Source organism: Homo sapiens, chromosome 14 (assembly GCF_000001405.40).
Source record: "Homo sapiens chromosome 14, GRCh38.p14 Primary Assembly".
NCBI lineage: Eukaryota > Metazoa > Chordata > Mammalia > Primates > Hominidae > Homo > Homo sapiens.
The window spans coordinates 106,686,877-106,709,780 of NC_000014.9; the positions used below are offsets into that span (position 1 = coordinate 106,686,877).

At 41.1% G+C, this 22,904-nt stretch overlaps 4 pseudogenes and 1 further gene; all 5 read right to left on the reverse strand.

The window, feature by feature from the left end:
• IGH (immunoglobulin heavy locus) overlaps positions 1–22,904 on the reverse strand; it is a 1,293,408-nt gene that overhangs the window by 1,100,440 nt on the left and 170,064 nt on the right.
• IGHVIII-67-2 (immunoglobulin heavy variable (III)-67-2 (pseudogene)) lies at positions 226–324 on the reverse strand (annotated as a pseudogene). The gene is given in 1 exon segment: positions 226–324. A coding segment is annotated over 1 exon segment (99 nt).
• IGHVIII-67-3 (immunoglobulin heavy variable (III)-67-3 (pseudogene)) lies at positions 5,738–6,012 on the reverse strand (annotated as a pseudogene). Its single transcript is given in 1 exon segment — positions 5,738–6,012. A coding segment is annotated over 1 exon segment (275 nt).
• IGHVIII-67-4 (immunoglobulin heavy variable (III)-67-4 (pseudogene)) lies at positions 8,216–8,521 on the reverse strand (annotated as a pseudogene). Its single transcript is given in 1 exon segment — positions 8,216–8,521. A coding segment is annotated over 1 exon segment (306 nt).
• IGHV1-68 (immunoglobulin heavy variable 1-68 (pseudogene)) lies at positions 16,931–17,410 on the reverse strand (annotated as a pseudogene). Its single transcript is given in 2 exon segments — positions 16,931–17,276; positions 17,366–17,410. Coding segments are annotated over 2 exon segments (391 nt in total).

A 22,904-nucleotide genomic window follows, 5' to 3' on the forward strand; every position in this document is an offset into this window, starting at 1 on the left:
TGGTAGGCACAGAATGCTAAAATTAGGGAAGTTCTCTGGAGAAACTGTCAGATGGAAGTTTTGTTTTTTTAAAAATATACTGGCAGGAAAGCAGTTCTTAACCTTTCTGTGCACCTCCCTCTGGGGTCGACTCTCATCAGTGGGTCCCAAGCTCCCCCTGCAGCTAATTCGCCCATGTGTCCCTGGAGGTTTATGTCTGGGCACACACTGGCTTTCCCTCATGTGCTCCTCTTGCACAGTGATATACTGATGTGTTCTTGGTTTACAGATCGCCCATTTGCAGATATAGCATATTCTTGACATTGTCTCTGGAGACAATAAATCAAAGACAAATAAATATTCTGTCGGACCAATAAAACCTGAGAAAACCTATTTCCAGCACATGAATCTTTCCGTAGACATTTTAGCAGAGTCTCTAGATGAATAGCCATGTGACATAGATCCAACACCTGAAAATATGCACAAAGAAGATGGTCAACAATGGAAAAATGAGGTTGAAATACAGTTTTTGCATTTGTATTTTGTTCATTATGTAAGTGTGGAAAGCAATTATAAAAATGCCAATATTACATTTTATAGCATGTATAGATACAAACAGAAAATAAAAAACATGGGATAGGAAAGAGGAATTAGATATATAGAGTTATAATATCTCTGTAGTATATATGAATGGGAATTAAATTTTTGAATTAGAATTCAATTATAGAAACTTTTTATTGTTATCCTTATGGTAACCCATAAAATGTTAGTCACAGAATGATTAAATAATAAGTTAATAGAAACAATAAACTTTATTGTAAAAATACAAATTAAAACAAGAATAATTGGACAAAAGAGTAACATCATTAAAAAATAATTCTTCATAGTTGACTAAAAAAAAACACCCAACTATTATTTATCTCCAAGAAAATTTCTTTACATATTCAGAAATAGAAAAAATAAAGATGGAAAAATATATATCATGAAAATATAAACCAAAAGAAAACTTAAATAGCTATGTTAATTTAAGACAAAATAATCATAAAAAGAAGACCTTTGGGACTCAAGAGAAATATTACATAAAGTAATAGGATCAACTTTCCAAAATACATTTAAAAATACTTAATGAATGGATTTGGAACAGAAAATATAATAACATGTATAGAAGACGGAGAAATCAACACTCATTGTGATTGACAAGCAGTGTTCAAATAAGTAAAGATATAAGTGTCCTAAATAGGACTATCAATCTACTTGATAAATTTTTATCTATAAAATATTAAACTAGAAAACTTCAGAAACACAAACTGTGATTTGCCAGAAGAGAATAAAGGAACATGACAACTCAATTCAAAGTGATGACCTTGTTGGAATCTGGGAACAAACAAATATACAAAAACAACAGCAAGGAGAGATCCTGTCTCAAAAAACAAAAAAAAAAAAAGAAAGAAAAAAGAAAAAGACAGTATCCACTAAAAGAGACAAACCGTGAATTATTTAAGACAGTTTATTCTGAGATATATATGAGTGGCCAAGGCCCATGACACAACTCCAGGAGTTCCTGAGTACACGTATCCAAAATGGTTTGGTTACAGCTTGATTTTATACATTTTAGTGGTACAGAAGGTATAGACAGATATGAATCAACACATGTGAGCTATACCATTTACACAGTCCAGAAAGGCAGAATAAGCTTACTCAAGTGCTTCCAGGACATACGTGAATTCAAACATTTTCTGATTGGCAATTGGTTGAAATGTTACACACTCATTACAAATGAGTATCTGGATTAAGATACGAGATTGTGGAGCTCATAATTGTTATTATGTAGATGAAACCTCCAGGTAGCAGACTTCATAGAGAATAGATTTTTAGGCGTTGCTGTTTGTCATGTGATGCTATACTAGAATCATATTGTAATTTGGTATCTTTTCACTATGAAGAGTGTTTATAGAAAAAATATAGTTTTGTCAGTCTAAGGGTCTTTGTTTTAGTGTTAATGCTGGCCACAGGTGCCTTAATTCCAAAGACAGGAGGACATAATGAGGCATATCTGACCTCTCATTTTCCCATTATTGCTGGAACAAGTTTTAAAGTTTACTTTAAAATATCTTTGGCTGATAGTTGAGTTCATTTAGTTGGATGAGGAAGCTTAGAATTTTATTTTTGGTTTACAAAAGAAATTATTGGAAAAATGGTAAATCTCAAATAAGGCCTGGTATTGAATATATTTAAAGTTATCAACGTAAATGTGTTAACACCATGTTTTATGATTGTGGAGGATGTTCATCTTAGGAGATACTTAGAGATGGGAACACACTGTATTAACTTTATGATTATTTTGTTAATCTACAATTATTCTGAATCAAATGTATATGAATGTAAAAATACTATCATAAAAATACAAGTCACAATTGATAAAATAGGTTTCTGGAAATTATAACATGTCAATCATAATTATGGACATTAATTTTAGAAGATAATATAGAAATTATCATCAAAAAATGATAAATGTTCATTTCTATCAAAAAACAAGTGAAGTACCTAATACTAAAATCAAGCAATGAGAGTGCTATTTGTATAATTATTTTATTTTCTATGATAAATAAAATGTGTTATTATTATAGGCATATCATAGACCAATAGTGGGCATAATCATGTTATTTTTTTCTAAATTTTGTGCCAATATCCTGTTAATTTCATATAGACATTTCTTACTGCATGTGTCATTTCCAAAATATTCAGCTATTATTTTTCATTTTAATATGACTCCTCTGTAGGCCCTAGGTATTCCAAATGCTTTCTATAACTTTTCCCCTTTTGTGGTTTCTACTGTCTCTTAACATGCAAAACTTCAATTTATATAACTATATAGGGGAGTAATGTATTTTAGAAGTTCATAATCATGCATACACATACACACATATGCCCAGTACTGAAATATACATGTGAAAATAGAAAAATGAACACCTATCCAAATACCAAACCAAAACATGAATTTATTCAATTTATTTTATTTATTTAATTGAATTGAATTTACTCTCTTTTATAGTATAATGTAGTAGTCCCAAATAATGCTTTTCTGTGTGAGTGTTTCTCTATCCTAATGCCAATAAACAAATACATTTAAAGACATGCCTCGGTAGAACTGAATGTAAATGCCATTCTGGCCAAACACATTAATTAAATGGACAATGGTATTTATGTATAGAATCTGTGTTGGTTTATTTGTCAGTTTTGCTATCAGTATACTTTTAAAATACCAGCCAATTATTAATAAACTTAATAACATATAAGATAAACATCACTTTTAAAATTGTATTATATTATTGGTTAAATTCACATTGTATTTTTATAAAAGTCAGGATAAATGTTCTTATTTAGAAATTAGGATTTTTTTCTACAATTGATTTTGTATAAATTTGCAATACAAATTCTAGATGTTAATTTGCCAGTACTCCTGGATGCTAGAGAACATCCAGTAATATGGAACTGAAAACAGCCCAGGATCCCCAAAATTCACTCACAATGGCAGGGTTGTCTGAGAATTGCTAACACATTAGGGATTTGAACTTCATCATCAAAGCACTAGTGAGCCTTAGTGCTGAGCACACAGAGAGCAGCAGGAGCTGCAGAGACTATTCTGTGGTACTTAGGTAAAGGAGTGGATGTGGTGGAGGTGACGTCTGCAGGACCCTAGAAAGGGGTGAGGAAGGCAGAGAGTCTGCAGGTAGATGAGCATATTCTAAGGAGAACTGTTATCCTCCTAAACTTGGTTGACTTCAATGATCATGAAGAGAAGTGAACAGATTCACCAGACATGGAAGAGGCAAAATAAAGGGACTTGTTGCTTCCTTGCTAGGAGACTGAGGAAGACAAAAGGCTTGGACAGAAGAAGGGAAGGTGGAGAAATAGTGTGAGGAGCAGAACACCAGAACCCAACCAAGGTGGGGGAACTGAGCCCTGAAAGTGGTGTTTCATCTCCACAAAAGGCAGATGAAAGAAAAAGAAACTTAACACTATGCCTATGCTGAGTTATTGGTAGAAAAGCATTGACTATAGTGTGACTGACACAGCAAAGAAAACAAAAACCCATGCATGGAACCAGAGCTTGAATTAGGCATACGCAATTTCTTATTATCAAAACATTCAATTACTGCTAGTGTTATTCTAAAAATATGGAGGGTTAAAAGTTGAATTGAATTCCTGTTCTAAGTTAATGATTTGTACGTGAAAGAAACCATGGGTTACAAGGAAGAAATGGTGAGAGATCCTGGGAAGGTTTTCGCTTGACCAGATCAGGGATCAGCAAGGTCTAAAAGCAAATCTGACCCTCCCCAGGCACCTGATGTGGAGCTGCCTCCTAAGAGAACCCTGTTGTCTGAGTGATACCCTGGTGGTTCCTGAGCCCCCCATGGTGGCCTGAGCACCCCCTGTTCGTCCTGAAGCTCTGGTGTCCTCAGCACTCTGAGCAGTCGTGAGTGCCTCCTGGTGGTCTTGTGTGTCTTTAGGTGTTTCTGTTACCCCTGGTCCTGAGTATTTCTTGGTGGTCTGGAATGCACCCTCGTGATTCTGTGCCCCCTGCTGTCCTGAGCACCCCCTGGTGTCCTGAGCCCCTTCCCTGGTGTCCTGCATGCCCCTGCTAGTCCTGGTCACCCCCAGGTGTTTCTGAGAGCCCCCTGGTGTCCTGAGCACCCTCCCTGGTGTCCTGAGCGCCCCTGCTGTCCTGAGTGTCCCTGGGTGTCCTGAGAACCTGCTGGTGGTTCTGAATGCCCCCAGTGTCCTGAGCGCCCCCTGGTGGTTCTGAGTGCCCCCGAGTGGTTCTGATCCTCTTCTGGTGTCCTGAGTGCCTCCTGCTCCCCCGAGTGCCCCCTGGTGGTCCTGAGTGCCTCTTGCTGGTCCTGAGCATCCCACTGTGTCTTGAGCGCCCCCTGCTGTCCTGAGTGCACCCCGTGGTACTGAGCGCCCCCTGCTGTCCTGAGTGCCACCTGGTGGTTCTGAGTGCCCCCAGGTCATTCTGAGCTTCCCCTGGTGTCCTGAGCGCCCCCTGCAGGTTCTGAGGGCCGCATGATGTCCTGGGTGCCCCCTGGTGGTTCTGAGCACCCCCAGGTTGTTCTGAGAGCCCCCTGTTACCCTGAGAACAGCCTGCTGCTCCTGCATGCCCCATGGTGTCCTGAGCACCCCCTGCTGGTCCTGAGCGCCCCCTAGTGGTCCTGAGCGCCCCCTGCTGTCCTGAGTGCCCCCTGGTGGTTCCAAGTGCCCCCAGGTCTTTCTGACCTTCCCCTGGTGTTCTGAGCGCCCCCTGCAGGTCCTGAGGGCCCCATGGTGTCCCGAATGCCTGCTGCTGTCCTGAGTGACCCCTAGTGGTTCTGAGCACCCCCAGGTGGTTCTGTGAGCCCCCTGTTGCCCTGAGCACGGCCTGCTTCTCCTGCATGCCTCATAGAGTCCCAAGCATGCCCTGCTGGTCATGAGCGCCCCCTGGTGTCCTGAGTACCACCTGGTGGTTCTGAGCTCCCCCTGGTGTCCAGAGCGCCCCCTGGTTTCCTGAGTGACCCTTGGTGGTTCTGAGAGCCCCCTGGTGATCCTGAGCAATGCCCCCTACAACACACACCATGTCCTGAGCGCACCCTGCTCTGCTGAGCACCCTCTGCTGTCCTGAGTGCCCCCTGGTGTCCTAAGCACCATTTATCACAAAGTCCTCTCTTGTCTCCCTGCAGGGAGGTTTCTGTCTGGACTCACAGAAATGTCCCTCGCTGTGTCTCTCACAGTAATACACTGCCTACCCCTGTGAGAGCCCCCTCAGCTTCCAAGTAGATTATTTTAAGGGAGACTGTGCTGGTAATTGGTGTCCCTGGGAATTGTGAATCTTCATTATGCTGATGCAGAATATCACTGAGAACTTCCACTTGAATCAATCACTGTTACCACCCACTCCAGCCTCTGTCCCCCAGCCATCTGGGCTCAATTTATGCTGTAGTCAGTGAAGGTGAATCTTGATGCTTTGCAAAAGAGGCTAAGAGAACAGCCAGGCTGTTTTGCCAAAGATAAAAATATAGATCCAGTAAACATTTGAGGTTTCCCAGGAAGGTGGGGAGAAGGTGTGTGGATTAGGTGAAACACACACTTTTTAATCCCAATGAAACTATTTTTTTTTTTTGAGAGGGAGTCTTGCTCTGTCACCCAGGCTGGAGTGCAGTGGCGCGATCTCTGCTCATAGCAAGCTCTGCCTCCCGGGTTCGCGCCATTCTCCTGCCTCAGCCTCCCGAGTAGTTGGGACTACAGGTGCCCACCACCACTCCCGGCTAATTTTTGTATTTTTAGTAGAGATGGGGTTTCATTGTGTTAGCCAGGATGGTCTCGATCTCCTGACCTCGTGATCCGCCCACCTCGGCCTCCCAAAGTGCTGGGATTACAGGCGTGAGCCAACACGCCCGGCCAATGAAACTATTTTTATGATATTCAATGATGGACACATGGCATAAAGAATTTCTGAAAACTCATATTTTTTGAGACAAAGTGTTAACCTAAATGCATACAACTTCGAAAGTATTTAGCAGGTCATGAAACACAAAAAAAGACAGCTGTATAAAAATATCTAACAACAATCAGAAGGTTTGAACTAATTACACTGAAGAAGGTGGGGCATAAATATTGGACACAAGAGACTTGGAAAGAATTTGATGTTGCGATTGTAAAACATAAATAAGCTCCACATAAGCACTGTATTCTAGTTGATAAACATATTTTCAACAAGGGTCAGTTTAACAATCCTAAAGACGATTTGTGTATTTTGAAATTGTGCACTAAGTAAATTAATGTCATATCTTAGGAGAGGTTTTCTCATTTTGGAGTGTGGGATTATGGACAAGCAGAGAAAGAAGGCTATGAATGTCTATGTGGATGACAGTAGTGTGTAAAAGCCAGTGTGTTCTTAGGTTTAATGTAATATAGTTACAGAATATTAGACACATAAACACTTTAATTTTGAATCTTTGTGGGTAAATAGTACACGTATATATTTATGGGGTACAGGACTCTGAATCAGCATGAACTGCATAATAATCACATCATGAAGAATATTTTATACATCCTCTCAAGCATTAATAGAGTTACCAACATTCCATTCATAAACTTTTATTTTAAAATCTATAATTAAGTTATTGAGGACTATATTTATTCTGTTGTGTTATAAAATATTATGTGTTATTTATTATTTCTAATCACTTTTTCTACCCATTGACCATCCCCAATAATCCCCATCTACCATAGACCTTCCCAGCTTCTGGTGACCATCTTTTCCCTCTCTATCTCCACGAGTTCAATTGTCTTAATTTTTAGCTTTCACAAATAAATGGGAACATGTGAATTTTGTCTTTCTGTTCTGGGCTCATTTCAATTAATATAGTGAACTCCAGTTTCATCCATGTTGCTGCAAATGACAAAATCTCATTTTTTTATGGCATGATATTAACCCATATCCTATATGTACCATATTTTATTTATCCATTCATGTGTTAATCGGCACATAGGTTGCTTTCAAATTTTGACTGTTGTGAACAGTGCTTTAACAGTGCTATTACAGACATGGTAGTGCAAAAACATTTCCTTTTTAGGGGTATATACCAGCAGCAGGATTGCCAGATTATATGATAACTCTATCGTCAGGTTTTGAGGAAACTCTAAGCTGTTCTCTATAGTGGTTGTACTAATTTAAATGCTCAACAGTTTATGAGTGTTCCCATTTCTCCACAGCCTCCCAGGATCCTGATGTGGAGCTGCTTTCTAAGAGATTCTTCCTGTTCTGAGTGCCCACTGGTGTTCTGAGCGCCCCCTGGTGTCCTGAGCGTCCCCTCGTGGTCCTGAGCTTCCTTCCCCTCGCGGTTCAGAGCGTCTCTTGGTTTCCTCAGCGCCCCCCCCCCCCCCCCCCCCCGGTGGCTCCAGCACGCTGACGTGTCCTGAGGTCCTCCTGGTGGCCCTGAGGGCTCCCTAGTGGTCCTGAATGCCCCCTGGTGCCCTAAGAGCCCCCTGGTGGATCCGAGCACCCCCCGCTGTATCCTGAGTGGCCCCCTGGTGTCCTGAGCGCCCCCAGCTGTATCCTGAGTGCCGCCTGGTGTCCTGAGCGCCCCCTTGTGTTGAGTGCCCCCTGGTGCTTCTGAGCAGCATCTACCATGCAGTTCCCTCCTGTCTCCCTGCAGATTTTTGTGTCTGGGCTTGTGCAGATAATCTCTCTCCTGTGAAGCTCACAGTATTACACAACCTTGTCCTTGGCTTTCAGGTTAGTCATTGTAAGGTAGAGTGCACGTGAAAGGGTGTCGCTGGACCAGTTAATTTATTTGTACTCATGAAGAGTAAACCTGAGCACTCCCACTTGTTGACTCACTGTTGCCAGCCACCACAATCCCTGTTGTGAAGCCTGCTGGACCAACCTCAGGCTGTTGCCAGAAAAGGTGAATCCAGACGCTTTGCAAGAAAGTCTCAGTGAACCACTGGGCTGTACTACGTTTACCCCTCTGACTCCACCACTGAACTTCATACAGGACTTCTATGAACACAGAGGAAATAGACTGAGAACAACCCTATGAGCAGCCACAGCTGGACCTGATTTACAAGGGACACTAATATGGAGGGTGATGAGAAGGGAAACCCAGATCAGTGCAGACTCCATAGTGTGAACACTGAAGAAAGACACAGATATGGGGTGGCTCCTCACCAGGGCCTGAAGGAACAGGGGATGAGCTGCCTTTCATGAGGAGGGGATGGGACATATTTCCAGGTCTTTCTCTTTGTGGTCGTAGGTGCACCACTCAGCGTTGCTCATCCATCCTCTGTGTCTCCATTTCAGGGAAGGCAGAGTCAAATGGTTCCTGCGTCTGGATGCACAGGGTTAATCTGCCCATTGCTCTTTTTTATTCTCTAATGTGGACACTGTTCAGGTATCTTCATGTGAGCAAACATTATCAACAAATTAGTCCAGTAAGAACATAAGAAATACATTTCCAGAGAAAATGGAAATCTGACTGTAATCAGTGCATTTATAGCTGCAAACGACTGTTTCTGACAATGAGATGAAGTTATGTTACAATAGACAAAATGCAGATCTACAGATTTTCAGGGTTGGAGTTTATAATTATCATTATCTTGAGATCATTTTGTCGCAAGACAGTTTAACATTGGACATATGTGCTTGTGTCAGGAAACAGTCAGTGTTGAAATATGTGTACTTATCTGAGTGAAGACTTCATTCACACTGAGACATGTTTGCTTATCTGAGACAAGAGTCCACATGAGGAAATGTCTGTTTTCTGAGGAAAGTGTAAATGTAAGGACATATGTGGTAGTCTGAGGAAATAGTCCATGTGGGGACATTTGTGTTTGAGGGAAGAATCCACATGAGTGAAGCTGTGTCTGTCTGACAGAAGAGTCCACATATTGACAGGTGTGTACCCATCTGAGGGTAAATGCCCATTCAGGTCAGCGTATGCCTGAACTAAGCTGAAGTTAGGGGAAAATCTTTCTCAACCAATGAAAGAAAAGAATCCTTTGGGTTATTTGCTTGTCGGGAATTAAAAACAAGGGTAAGGTAGAAAATTGATTTTTTTAAAATAAAAGGTCTTCAGTGAATGGAAACATTGTATATGCAAATGGGGAAAATTACTTCATTCTTTGTTGCATGTATCTCATAACATCCCCACTCTCACCAAATAAGTTATTGGATAATTTTATACAGTCTGCATTTAATCCTGGGGTTAATGAACTGCTGAATTTTTTTAATTGAATATGTTTAAGTTTATATTTTCTATCACAAAATTATTAGCTTAGACAAATTAGTTATATCATATCTCAACCATTGCATATCACTAAAAATAGTTTTATTTTTCCTAAACACCACATTTTTTTTTTTGCTTATTTTATACCCACTCTCTAAATTCCTGGAACATCCTCTGTCTGTTTACTTGACTATAGTCTAAGCATTTATGGAATTTCAAATAAATGAAATTATACAATGTAATTGAAATGACTTCATTGAAGAATGTGGAAAATGAAGTTGCTGACCTAAGCAACTCAGAAAACGAAGAAATTCTATAAGTTTAATGTGTAAAAAATCTGCACATAAGCACTCTATTCTAGTAGATAAACATGGTTCCATCAAGGGCACAGCTTTACACTTTTGATACTGCTATGCATGTGTCCTGAAACTGTGCAGCTAAGTAATAAAATTACATATGGTGGAATGGGGTTTCTCACTTTGCAGTGGGTGGTTATGGAAACGCAAAGAAAGAAGACTAGAAAGGTTCATGTGCTAACATAGTTGGGTGGAGAGACCAGTGTGTTCTCATTTTTAATGTGATATGGTTACAGAAGATTAGATACATAAATAGTTTCAATGAGTCCATAAACTTGGGTTCACATAAACATGCACGTTTACTGGGACCATTGTTTGAGAGGTTCTAGAAGTACTCATACCACATTAACAACACACAGAGCCAGTATCACAATGTTTTATTTTAATACTATTCTTTAACATCAGAAACATGCAATCTTTATAAAAGTGGTTGATTCTATGTAAAAAAAGGTAATAAAGAAAACAAGCTTAGAATTTATGGTAATACCAGGAAATACGCAAGTGTTCAAAAACAAAAATATGAGGTGTGCTGTAAGGATGCAGGATTCAAACAAAATGAGCTCCCAGCACCTAATAAAGCTGTGGTGCTTTGAACAATTAAATGAATGATGTAGCATGGATCTTTTTCAAAGTATAAAATGGACATCCATCAACCAATACTGATATTAATAGATGATTAATTAAAAAATAATAGGAAGAAGAACACATCTCCTTACAGAAGTATTCCAAATACATTAGATTGATGGTCCTCCAATCAAGCAGGTGAAGTTTAAACACTCATGAGTTGATTGTGGCCTGAGATTAGAGATATGGAAAAAATAATGACTATTAGTTTATTTTATAATGAAACTTCAGATATAATGCCAAAGGCATGATCTATGAATGAATAAAATTATATATGTTTTCAATCTAAATTTGTACAAACACACACACACACAAACACACACATTTTTCTGCGATACCTACTGATAAGGGAGTAAAAGGCAACCACAGACTTGGAGAAAATACTTCCTGTGGGGTTCAGTCAGGCTCGTGGGAAAAATTTTAGTTATAATAGCCACAAGTCCTCGTGGAAGGCTTGAGAGATTGCATAACTTCAGTAATAAATCTGGCTGAAGGCAGCCTAGTCCCCTTACCTTTAGTTTAGTAAATTTGAGTAGAAACAAAAGAATGTGGGGAGTTTATCTAACTAGCTTGTTCACTCATGTGGTCCTAAGACTCACCTTTGATCTACCTGGATGGTCAGTCAAGCTGGCAAAGCAGAATATCTGTGTGTCAGTGTACTTTATTCACCCGTTGTTGTGTCAGGACCTGCAGGACAGACCCCCACAGCCGGTGCCCCATGTGAGGATCGCTGCAAAGGGAGCGTGACAGACCCCATGAAAACGAAGGTTGAGGAAGACTGCGTGGTCAAGTCAGTAAAACAGTAAGTCATTGGTGCCCACTTGGGATCTCCAAGTTCAGGGGAGATTGTTCAGGCTGAGATTTCATCATGGGACAGCAGTTATCAGCTCAACACAAACAGCATATGAAAGTATTGTAACAGTTGCTTAAGGCTAGGGGAGCATCAGTTTCGCAGGCTCAATTAAGGCACCTAATGAAAACTGTTGTCTCACATAATCTGTGGTCCCAGAAGAAGGAAAGCTAGAAGTAAAGCTCTGGGAACAAGTAGGGAGAAATCTTGAACAGCATTACACACAAGCGCAACGGGTCCCAGCATCATCTTTAACACTATGGGCTTTAGTAGGGATGGCTTTAGTCCCATTATACAAAGAAGAACCCAAAAAGGGGAAGGAGGAAGAAACGTCACTTGCCTTACCACCTGCTCTTCCCAAAATAACAAAGAGGAAACGGAGGTTTTGCCTGAGCCCCCTCTTTCAATAGATAGAAAAAATAGAGGAAATACACTACAGCTATATGTCCCTGTCTTCGACAAGCAGCATTAAAAGGGGAGCTCTTAGACTGCCCAGTAATGCAAGATCAGCAAGGCAATCAGGTACACGAAGGGTTAAGAAAAGGCATTAGGGGCAGGAGCAAGTGCAGGAAGCTCCCCTCTGCCGGCAGCAGCTGCTGAGCAGTGTGGGGAGGGAGCTGGCACAGAGGAAACGCGGTGGCGAAAAGTGGCTTCTAAGCAAGCACAAAGCCGCAGCCGCCCTGGGACCCACCTGCTCCGCTCTCTGGCTCCGCAGGCGGCCCAAAGCAAAATTTGTTATGTTCTTTGTATACAAGCGACATCCCAGATTATAATTCTATGATAAGAGTTAAGTAAAATTTAAGAATTTGAGAAACCTCTTTCTAATAATGGCCACTGTTATCTCTCTCTTATTCCTAACATGACTCCAAATCCAGTTTAAGTAAAACAGTAACCTCTAAAGGGAGAGACATTACAAAAAGCCCCTAAGTTAGTTAGGGAGCAATTAAAAGCAAGCTTTGCTCCCTAGTAGGAAAAAGTTTCCTGGCTACAAGATTATTCATTTTATGGGTAATATTCTACTAACAGCCCTTAGAATTTACCCATTTTCATCATTCCCAAAAGGCCTAGTTAATGTGTTACCTACAAAAATAGTTTACTCCCCCATATTTAATGCTTTAGCACTGTTTACTGATAGATCTGGTAAATATGGAAAAGCAGCAGTCTGGTGGACACCACACAATTCATTCACTCAATCTGGGTTTACTAGCACTCAGAAAGCTAAAGTTGAGTCCTTAATATTGGGTCTAGAGAACTTTTACAGCCCTAATTAAGTCAACTCTGGAGCCAGCCCTGTGGACTCTTTTTCTCTGATTTCAGCAATTGCTAAATCAAAGTACACATCCTATTTTATTACACACATTCCAGCCCACAGCTCACTGCCTGGTCCATTAGCTTATGACAATAATCAAGCCAACCTTCAAGTTATGATATCGCTGCTTGACCAAGCCACCCAATTGCACCAATTTTTCCACCAAAATTGGAAAAACTTATCTAAACAATTCCAACTTATATAGAGACTGGCTAAACAGTCTCTGAGATCGCCAGCTCAACTTATACAGAGACTGGCTAAACAGTCTCTGAGATCGCCAGCTCACAGGCACGTCTCCTCCTTCAACAGGTATTAACCCTAGAACCTAATCTGTTGTGGCAAACAGATGTTACACACATCCCTGAATTTGGAAAACTTAGATAGGTACATGTATCCTTTGATATCAACACTCATTTAAGTAGTGCACATACTCCGCCTGGAGAGTTTACTCGATATGTCATTAAACATCTTCTTTTATCTTTTGCATTTATGGAACAACCCGCAAAAATTAAGACTGATAATTGTCCAGGTTAGGCCAGCTCACAATTTCAACAATTTTGTCACACGTGGAATATCCGACATTCCTCAGGTATCCCATATAAACCCCAAGGACAAGCAATAGTAGAACTTGCCAACTCCACCCTTAAAATATGCACAAAAAACAAAAACAGGGGAGTATGGGTACAGACCCTGCAACACTTTTGGCACAAACCTTATTTTTTTAATTTAGAAGACAAATTTGAATCCGCTGTAGAAAAGCACTTTGCTAAAATTTCCCAATACATGAAACCTGCAGTTTTATGGAAAGATGTAAACAGTAATGAATGGTGTGGTCCAAGTGAATTATTAATGTGGGGAAGAGGGTACGCTTGTATCCACACCCCCTCGGGTCGTCTTTGGGTTCCAGCACGACGCATCAAACCATACCAGGACATTGCTAGGACCCAACCCAGTACCAGAAATGAAGGAGTTAACCCTACAAGACCTACAGCCCCGGACGATGCAGCTTCTGTGAACAACACAATCCCCAGACATTACCTGGGGGGTACTGAAAAGGACAACTCAGGAGGCTGAACGAATCCTGCTCCAAATGCAGACACCATTTACTCCAGATAATGTGTTTGGTGCTATGATTTCTGTTGTACATTGCAACTCATGTAGGGTATTAATCCTTTTTATGCTCTCACTTTGTCTGCAACCTGTACCTGCTACACTCTATTGGGCCTCTATCTTAGACACACCTTTCTTTCACCCTGCCAAATGGGAAGACACTCCCTTCCCAGCCTATAGTAACGTGACTGCTTGGCTAGGAGGGATAGATTTACCCCACGTGGGGTCCCTCAATAATGGCACACAATGGACTAAGGTGGCAGATAACACTATATGTCAATCCACTATTATCCTCCCAGTGTGTGTAAGTTATAAAGACTCTAACCCTTACTGTGTACCTGCCCAAAAACAAGTATGGTTACATCATAGCAAAGGAAATGCCTTAACATTCTTAGCTGCAGATAGCCTCAAACTGAGCAATGCAATCCATGCCGCTGCTTCTTTCCCAAACATTCCTTCCTGTGCTAAGGAACAAAGCTGGGACAGTAATCGGTTCGACTTTAGCTGGGAGGTCTGTCATGGGAGACGAGCCCATAGCCTCCAGTTAGGTAATTATAACATCTTAGACTGGAGTCCCAGCGGCTGATTGCAGGGCAGCCTTACTAATACCTTCATCCATCAGAGCATCAATCAGTTTCATAGCCATGTCTTTTCCCCTATAATTTGTGCCAAGGGGGGATGGCATATCCAAGGCCCCAAGTAAAGTCCATGCCGCCCCAAGGTACTTTATGGTGTCTGGGACATCTTAGCACCTCCCTTAACACCTGGCATGGGACATACCATATTTCCCGTTGCAACTATGCTATAAGCTTTATTCATAATCACACTGATCAGTGCCTAATTTGCACTACCCATCCATACGATTTCCTTATGGGAACTAACATTTCCATTACACCTCAAAACTCCACGTTTGTGACCTGGATGCAGGGACAGGCTTGGTTTGCCTCATGTATCACTAATCACAGTATATCTAACTTAAAAATTACTAGCGCCATGGTATTAAAGAGAAAATCTGAGGCATTCTTACCAGTCAATCTGGCATGCAATTGGCAAGGTTCCTATGCCCTTGCAACCTTAGAACGTGCCCTGTCCCAGGTCAGACACAAAAGATTCATAGTTACACTTATGGCCTTTATAGTCTCAGCCATAGTCATCCTGGCAACAGCTAGTGTTGCTGTTGCATGTATTATTGACTTAGTGTAAACTGCTGCCTTTTTAGATAATCTGGCCAAAAATGTGTCTAATGAACTTCTCTTACAGCAAGGTATAGATCAAAAAATTATCACACGTCTGCTAGCCCTTGAGGCTGCTTTAGAATATGTCAGGGAGCGACAAGATGCAGTGGCATTCTGACAGCATTTAAACTGTGACTGGGAACATGAACATATCTGTATCACTTCTCTACCACGGAATCTATCAATACATAGTTAGGATGAGGTAAAACAATACCTCTGGGGAACCTTTCATGACAATTTAACAGCAGACGTAAAGTAAGTTCAAACTAAAATTTTAGAATCTCTTCACGCAATAGATCTACACCCCCAACAAACAGTCATATGGAAGGGTGTGTGAGATCATCTCTCCTGGTTAGACCCCGCTCCTGGGGGTCACTCTGACTGGAAAAGAATGTTGCTAATTCTACTCATGATTGTTTTATGTTATTTGCTAATTCTAGGATGCAAAGCCAGAATAAGAGCAATGACTGCCACACCTGACAGACATGTTGCTGCGCATATCTGCACGCTCCAATCCAAAAGACCTGATGTAGAAAACAAAAAATGGGGAGATGTGGTGGTCCAGTCAGGCTGGTGGGAAACATTTTAGTTCTAATAGCCACAAACCCTCTTGGAAGGCCTGTGAGTTTGCATAACTTTGGTAATAAATCTGGCTGAAGGCAGCCTAGTCCCCTTACCTTTAGTTACATAAAGTAGAGTAGAAACAAAGGAATGTGAGGAGCTTATCTAACTAGCTTGTTTACTCATGTGTTCCTAAGACTAACCTTTGATCTACCGCGGGTGCTTAATTGCTTTCCACTCAAGAGGTCCACAATGTCAATTACCTTCTAGTGGTGTTTACTCACGGCCTTTGTCAATTAATCTTTACTGAATAAATGTAAGTCTCCCTGACTGATCGAGGCGGTGGCTGTGACTAAGTGGCCCAGATGCTCAGTCGAGCTGGCAAAGCAGAATATCTTTGTGTCAGTGCACTTTATTCATTCGTCATTGTGTCAGGGTGTGCAGGACAAACCCCTGCAACTTCCAAGTCACATATTTGTTAAATGAATTCTTTTAATTTGTTAATTAACTTTTATAATCAATATGCAAGTAAACTTACAACTAATCAAAAGAAAACAGTGCTATTGAAAATGAACCAAATATCAGGAGAGGCATCTCACCAAAAATTATATGAAAATTGTTAAATATGAATTTTATTAGGGGCATGTGCATTTAAGCAAAAATTAGATACCATTACTCACCTATTATAATGGTTAAAACACACAATTCTCATAATGATAAATGGTAATATAATGTGGAAACCCAAGAACAATCATTCATTGATGGTGGGAATTCAAAGAGGTACATGGTCAAAATGAGACTCTTTTTGGCATTTTTTATAGAGACAAAAGTAGAGTTAAAATGTGATCTTGTGTCTGTGTTCCAAAACATTTACAACACTGATTCAGAAATTGATGTTTACAAAGATACCTTCAGAGGAATTTCTATGTCAGCTTTATTAATTTGATTAATTCTCCAATCCCTAGAATTTGCTTACAGAATAAATGTTGCATAAGAAATCTCTCAAATAATTACAATTTCTCAAATACACATTTATATTGTTCCTTTTCGTAAATGACTTAATGCTATTTTCTAAGAAAGTCTTCAATCTAATAATCTTTGTCATCTCCTCCATGCCAGCACAGCTGCCTCCTCCCTGGGGTTCCTGACTCTCTCAGGATGTGGGTTCTCGCACCGTGTATCTTGCCCAGTAATACACAGCCGAGTCCTCAGATCTCAGGCTGCTCAGCTCTATGTAGGCTGTCCTCAGGGACATGTCCCTGGTAATGGTGACTCTGCCCTGGAACTTCTTTGCATAGTTGGTGTTACCATTGTAAAGTGTGATCCATCTCATCCTTTCAAGCCCTTGTCCAGGGGCCTGTTGCAACCAGTGCAAGGAGCAGCAAGTGAAGGTGTATCCGGAAGCCTTGCAGGAGACCTTCACTGAGGCCCCAGGCTTCTTTACCTCAGCCTCAGACTGCCCCAGCTGCACCTGGGAGCAGACACCCATTGGAGGGTGGGACACAGGAGTGGATGAAAGCCTCCTTGACTGTACTCAATCCCCTTCTCATCACTGGGACTTGGGAGCACCTTACCTGTAGCTGCTGCCACCAGGAAGATTAGCTCTAGGTCCTGTCCATGGTGAGGAGCCATGCTCTCGGGGGATTCTCTAGAGGCGGGATGTGATTGTTGGGTGAAGCTCTCAGGGCACAGACCATATTTACCTCAGTGGATCTCAGGTATTTACATATTCATGAGACAGGGCATTTCATAGCTCAAAGCCTGATCCATGATAAGAAAGGGAAGACAAATGACACATCAGCCTTGCAAGAGTGAGATGCTGATGGTCCAAGCCCTAATCCTGCTTGAGGAAATGCATGCCCCTGTCCATTTAGGAATATTTGTGGACAGAGGTCCTTTCACTGAAGAAGAAGCCCCCTCAGAACGGCCTCTCACTGTGAAACTACATTAGATTAGCACAGAGACCACTTGGATCATTCTGGGGACCATCTCGGTCCATGACACAGAGCAGGTGCCTTGGCCCTATGCTGGACCCGTCAGACACCAGCACAGCTCACTGATGACTCTGAGCAAGTGACGCTGATGTCCCACGTGAGTGGCCAGCACGTTCCTCTGAGATCCCTGGGGCGCTCCTGAGACAGTTTCTCCAGCACCTTCCTGGTGTCCTGATTCCCCAGGATCGTCAACAGAAAAACTCTTAGTTTACAGATTTGCCCTGTGATGCATAATTGGAGATGATTTTCTTATGTCATGGACACTAGGATTCAGAAGTTGAAACAGGAGTTAGGAGTTCTTTATGAACTCATGCTCCCATAATAATTTCAAGGGAATTTGTGTTTTGGATAAGTTTGGGTTTTATTTCCTACTGGATTTATTAGAATTTCATGAACTGTTTACATACTTTCAGTTCATGTGCATAGATCCTCATCTTTACATGCTGATTTCTGACTCACTCTCAGATCCACACTCTCGGATCCACCACTGCCCTGTCACTCACACAATGTAGGCAACTTTACTTAACACTGAAATCTGAATTTTTTTTTTGGAGATGGAATCTCGCTTTGTTGCCCAAGCTGGAGTGCAGTGGCACAATCTCAGCTCACTGCAAACTCTGCTTCCCACGATCACTGACAGCAGCATTGTCTGAGGCTGTAGGTCTTGTAGGATTAAATCTCCTGCCTCAGCCTCCCGAGTAGCTGGGACTACAGGTTCATGCCACCCCACCTGGCTAATTTTTTGTATTTTGAATAGAGACAGGGTTTCATGGTGTTAGCCAGGATGGTCTCCAGCTCCTGACCTCGTGACCCGCTCACCTCAGCCTCGCAAAGTGCTGGGATTACAGGCATGAGCCACCAGCCCCAGCCTGAAATCTGAAATTATTATTCATGGAAATATAGTGACTCCCATAATTCTCTCTGCATTGAATTAGTAAGACCATCCCTATTCTTCATATTCTCACTATTAAGGTATTTATAATCTTAGAAGCCGACTTTAAAAAGATAGTTCTCCTTGTCTTGAATTGTGGGAGCAGCTCAGATGTGATAGAATATTTAAAAAGATAGTTATCATTGCCTTGAATTGTGGGAGCAGCTCAGATGTGATAGAATATTTAAAAAGATAGTTCTCATTCCTTGAATTGTGGGAGCAGCTCAGATGTGATAGTATATTTAAAAAGATAGTTCTCATCGCCTTGAATTGTGGGAACAGCTCAGATGTGATAGAATATTTAAAAAGATAGTTCTCCTTGTCTTGAATTGTGGGAGCAGCTCAGATGTGATAGAATATTTAAAAAGATAGTTCTCCTTGTCTTGAATTGTGGGAGCAGCTCAGATGAGATAGAATATTTAAAAAGATAGTTCTCATCGCCTTGAATTGTGGGAGCAGCTCAGATGTGATAGAATATTTAAAAAGATAGTTCTCATTGCCTTGAATTGTTGGAGCAGCTCAGATGTGATAGAATATTTAAAAAGATAGTTCTCATTGTCTTGAATTGCGGGAGCAGCTCAGATGTGATAGAATATTTAAAAAGATAGTTCTCATTCCTTGAACTGTGGGAGCAGCTCAGATGTGATAGAATATTTGAAAAGATAGTTCTCATCACCTTGAATTGTTGGAGCAGCTCAGATGTGATAGAATATTTAAAAAGATAGTTCTCATCGCCTTGAATTGTGGGAGCAGCTCAGATGTGATAGAATATTTGAAAAGATAGTTCTCATCGCCTTGAATTGTGGGAGCAGCTCAGATGTGATAGAATATTTATAAAGACAGTTCTCATCGCCTTGAATTGTGGGAGCAGCTCAGATGTGATAGAATATTTATAAAGATAGTTCTCCTTCTCTTGAATTGTGGGAGCAGCTCAGATGTGATAGAATATTTAAGGGCACACCAGCAACTTATTGAATTTTAGCTTTTTTCTCCCAAAGGAAGACCCAGCCCCTGAGAGGAAACCTTCTCAGCAGCCTCCTGTGCACCAGCTGCAGGGCTGGAACCCGTGCTGAGTGGCTCCTGAGTGCCCCCTCCCGCCCAGCCCTTGCCTTGCAAGGAGGTTCCTGTTGGGGCTCACAAAGCATTTCCCCCCAGCTTCTCTAGCCCAGCGTGAAATGGCTGTGTGCTAGTGTAGAATACTCCCTCAGTGACACCATATGCTGGTGACACCATCTCTTGAAATAATTGATCAACTTTACTAAACAGATTGAACTCTGCCGTGAGACTCAAAGCAAGGGTTCTATGACACAGGACAGAGCCCCTTCTCTGAAGCTCCAGATGCACTTAAGCAGTGGACCCACAGTGAATACAAAAACTTGCAAAAGATTTGGGAGTGCCTTCTTTCTTCATTGGGCTCTTGCAGGTGAATGTAGCATTGGAAAATACCAGCAGGTGCAGATTGATCGAGATGAAAGCCCACTCCATATCCACTATTCCAATAACACTATAACACTATAACAATAACTTCCTAATAAGGAAGAATTTTCCCTTCTTCCTAATGCCTAGCCTATAGAAAATTCCTCCTACACTGACACTAGGCCCAGGTATCTGACTTTTTTCTCCTAGAGATCTAAAGGTCAATGAGGGAGTTTCCAAGACCTTGATCTTAAAAATGGTGATGTCAGAGGCTTCAGATTGCTTTGTCGTCCTTGTCCTACTCTCTGCCTTTGTCCTTTAGTTTTCCAGTGTTCTTCTCACATAGAGTCTGTGCATTGCCACACTTCCATCTTTAATCCAGAGCTATCACACTGGTTAGAATGGATTGTGCAGTGCAGGCAAGCACTGCCTGTTTTGACAATGGAAACCTAGAGATGCGATCGGCTTCCTCTTCTGGGCTGTGACTTTGACCAGGAATCTCCAGGGGAAAAGCTACTTTGGCCATTACTCCCTTTTGTGGTTTCAGTGTCCCTGGACTATTTACTTACATCTTACCCCTATTGGCTAACTTTGCTCATTTCTATAATAATGGAAGAATGGGAGAGAAATCTGGAATGGGAGATTTGTCTTCCTTTACATAGGACAAGGTTCTCGAAAAGTCCTTCCATGTAGAAGCTTTTGAAAAAGTCTCCCGTAATATTTTTCAGTAATTAATCTTCTCCAATCTGACAAATAAGAAACGTATTTGGATAGTATTTTTTAGAATCTGGAGGTTTCTGGTGAGAAAGTCCATAAAACATAGAAATATAAGACCCTCTGGAACAGTCACATTTACTGAGTCCACATCTGTCTTTAAGACAACTATAGTGCTTATCATGTAAGTGCCCTCAACAACTTGTGGCTTCTGTAGATTCTCTTCCAGTTAAACAAGTGTCAACTGCCATTCTGGACATGGCTGTCTATCCAGGTTCTTGAGTGGGTATTTTTTTTTCAATTTCAGTTACTTAGCAGATTCCAAAAAGTATTGGCATTCAGATTATGCAGATTTCCTTTGACATAAAAATGAATGTGATGAACATCATAATCTATGTGTCAGTGCATAAACCAAAAGTACAATCAAAGGTCTCCATTGATGTGTTACTGGAGGCAGAATTTTGATCTTATTACATATAACAGACACCTGGTATGACATAAATGAACAGGCAAGAAAACAGAGTAAGGACATGGCACAACACTTATGAACAAGTCTCAGCAATTTTAATTTTCTTCTGAGGAAGTTGAAATTGTGAAAGTGAAACAGTGGGACTGGTCATGTCTCAGGTGATGTTGTCTTCTGGAAAGTGTCTCCAATCCTGGGCTGCATCCAGTAGGTGCACCTGGGCTCCCGAACCTGAAACATGGACTCTTATTCCTTAAACACAAGACATTCCAATGAGAAAGCTGTTCTCAGGTGAGCTACAGAGCAGGGAGCAGGAGATGTAGGTGTCCTTCGCTTCCTAGAATTACTGAAACTTGAAGACCAAGGCCTCCCTTGAGGGGCAGAGATCCACCTATGAGTACATCACATCAGCTCTGTCTTCGGGAATCTTTGGCTTTATGGGAGGATAAGGAATGTGATTTATTCCTTTCTGCTAATGCAGTGTGCATCAGAGAAAATGAGTTGAAAATTTAATAAATATTTTTTCCATATTAGGGGAGAGAACATGTATAAATCACGGCAATGCAAGTGCTCACTACAGAACCTGCAGGAGGAGCAAGTGCACAACTGAGAGAAGGCAGCGCCCTGCCCGAGGAAGCAGGTGCCCTGAGATCATCCCCTGGGAACTGTGCTCTAGGTGCCGTGCGCCAGTGGAACCTGGGCTGGGGCCTGGGATTTGTAGGTGGTGTGGAGAGCAGAGCACAGCTCCATTCCTCCTCACTGTGTGACCTGGGATGTGGCATCTTCCTCTGAGCTTCATTCGGACAAGGTGTTAATATAAAATTGCAGCATTAAATTTACCTATAACCTTTCAATTAGGAGCCAGTGCTGTTCAGAATTGTTATCACTACTGTTGTCCAAACCCTTAAATATTATAAAATACCTGTGTGACCCCTCATCTCAGACCTCAGATGACCACATTGCAGAGAAGACACCTGCTTTGTTTCTGTCACGAACATGGTATTAGAACGGGAAAGTATGTGTAACCTTGTTATAGATTTCATGTTAATTAAGTTACAATGGGTAAAATTAGAATTAGTAAGTGATACTTAAAATTTAGCTTTGGGGATTTCTAAGCAAAGTGTGGATGGTGTGTTTTGATTTCTCCTTGCTTAATATAGTATAATGTGAGAGGAGGAGACAAATTAAAGAAGAAACTATCCAGCAATGTGGAATCAGGTATTTTATAAATAAAGAAGGTTCTCACCTCTTCTGAAAACCCCATAACCTTAAAAAAATGAAGGAACTTTAAGACATATTTCTATATTCTGGATACATGACTAATAAAAACATATTTAAGTGCAAAAAGAGATACACAGAAGATGAAACTTCTGCAGCAGATAATTTTGCCAAATAGCTTTATACTAGTTTGTAATTTTACCTAAATATTCAAAAGATAAACTCCAGAGAGATCCAAATAAGAAATTATAACATTTCAATGTTAGATGACTGGTTGAGAGGCGCTTGAACTAACATTATTTTGATGAATCATACCTCAATAATAAAACTGTGTCTAATGGTACACTGTTCAAGAGGCTACTTGAGTATATAGT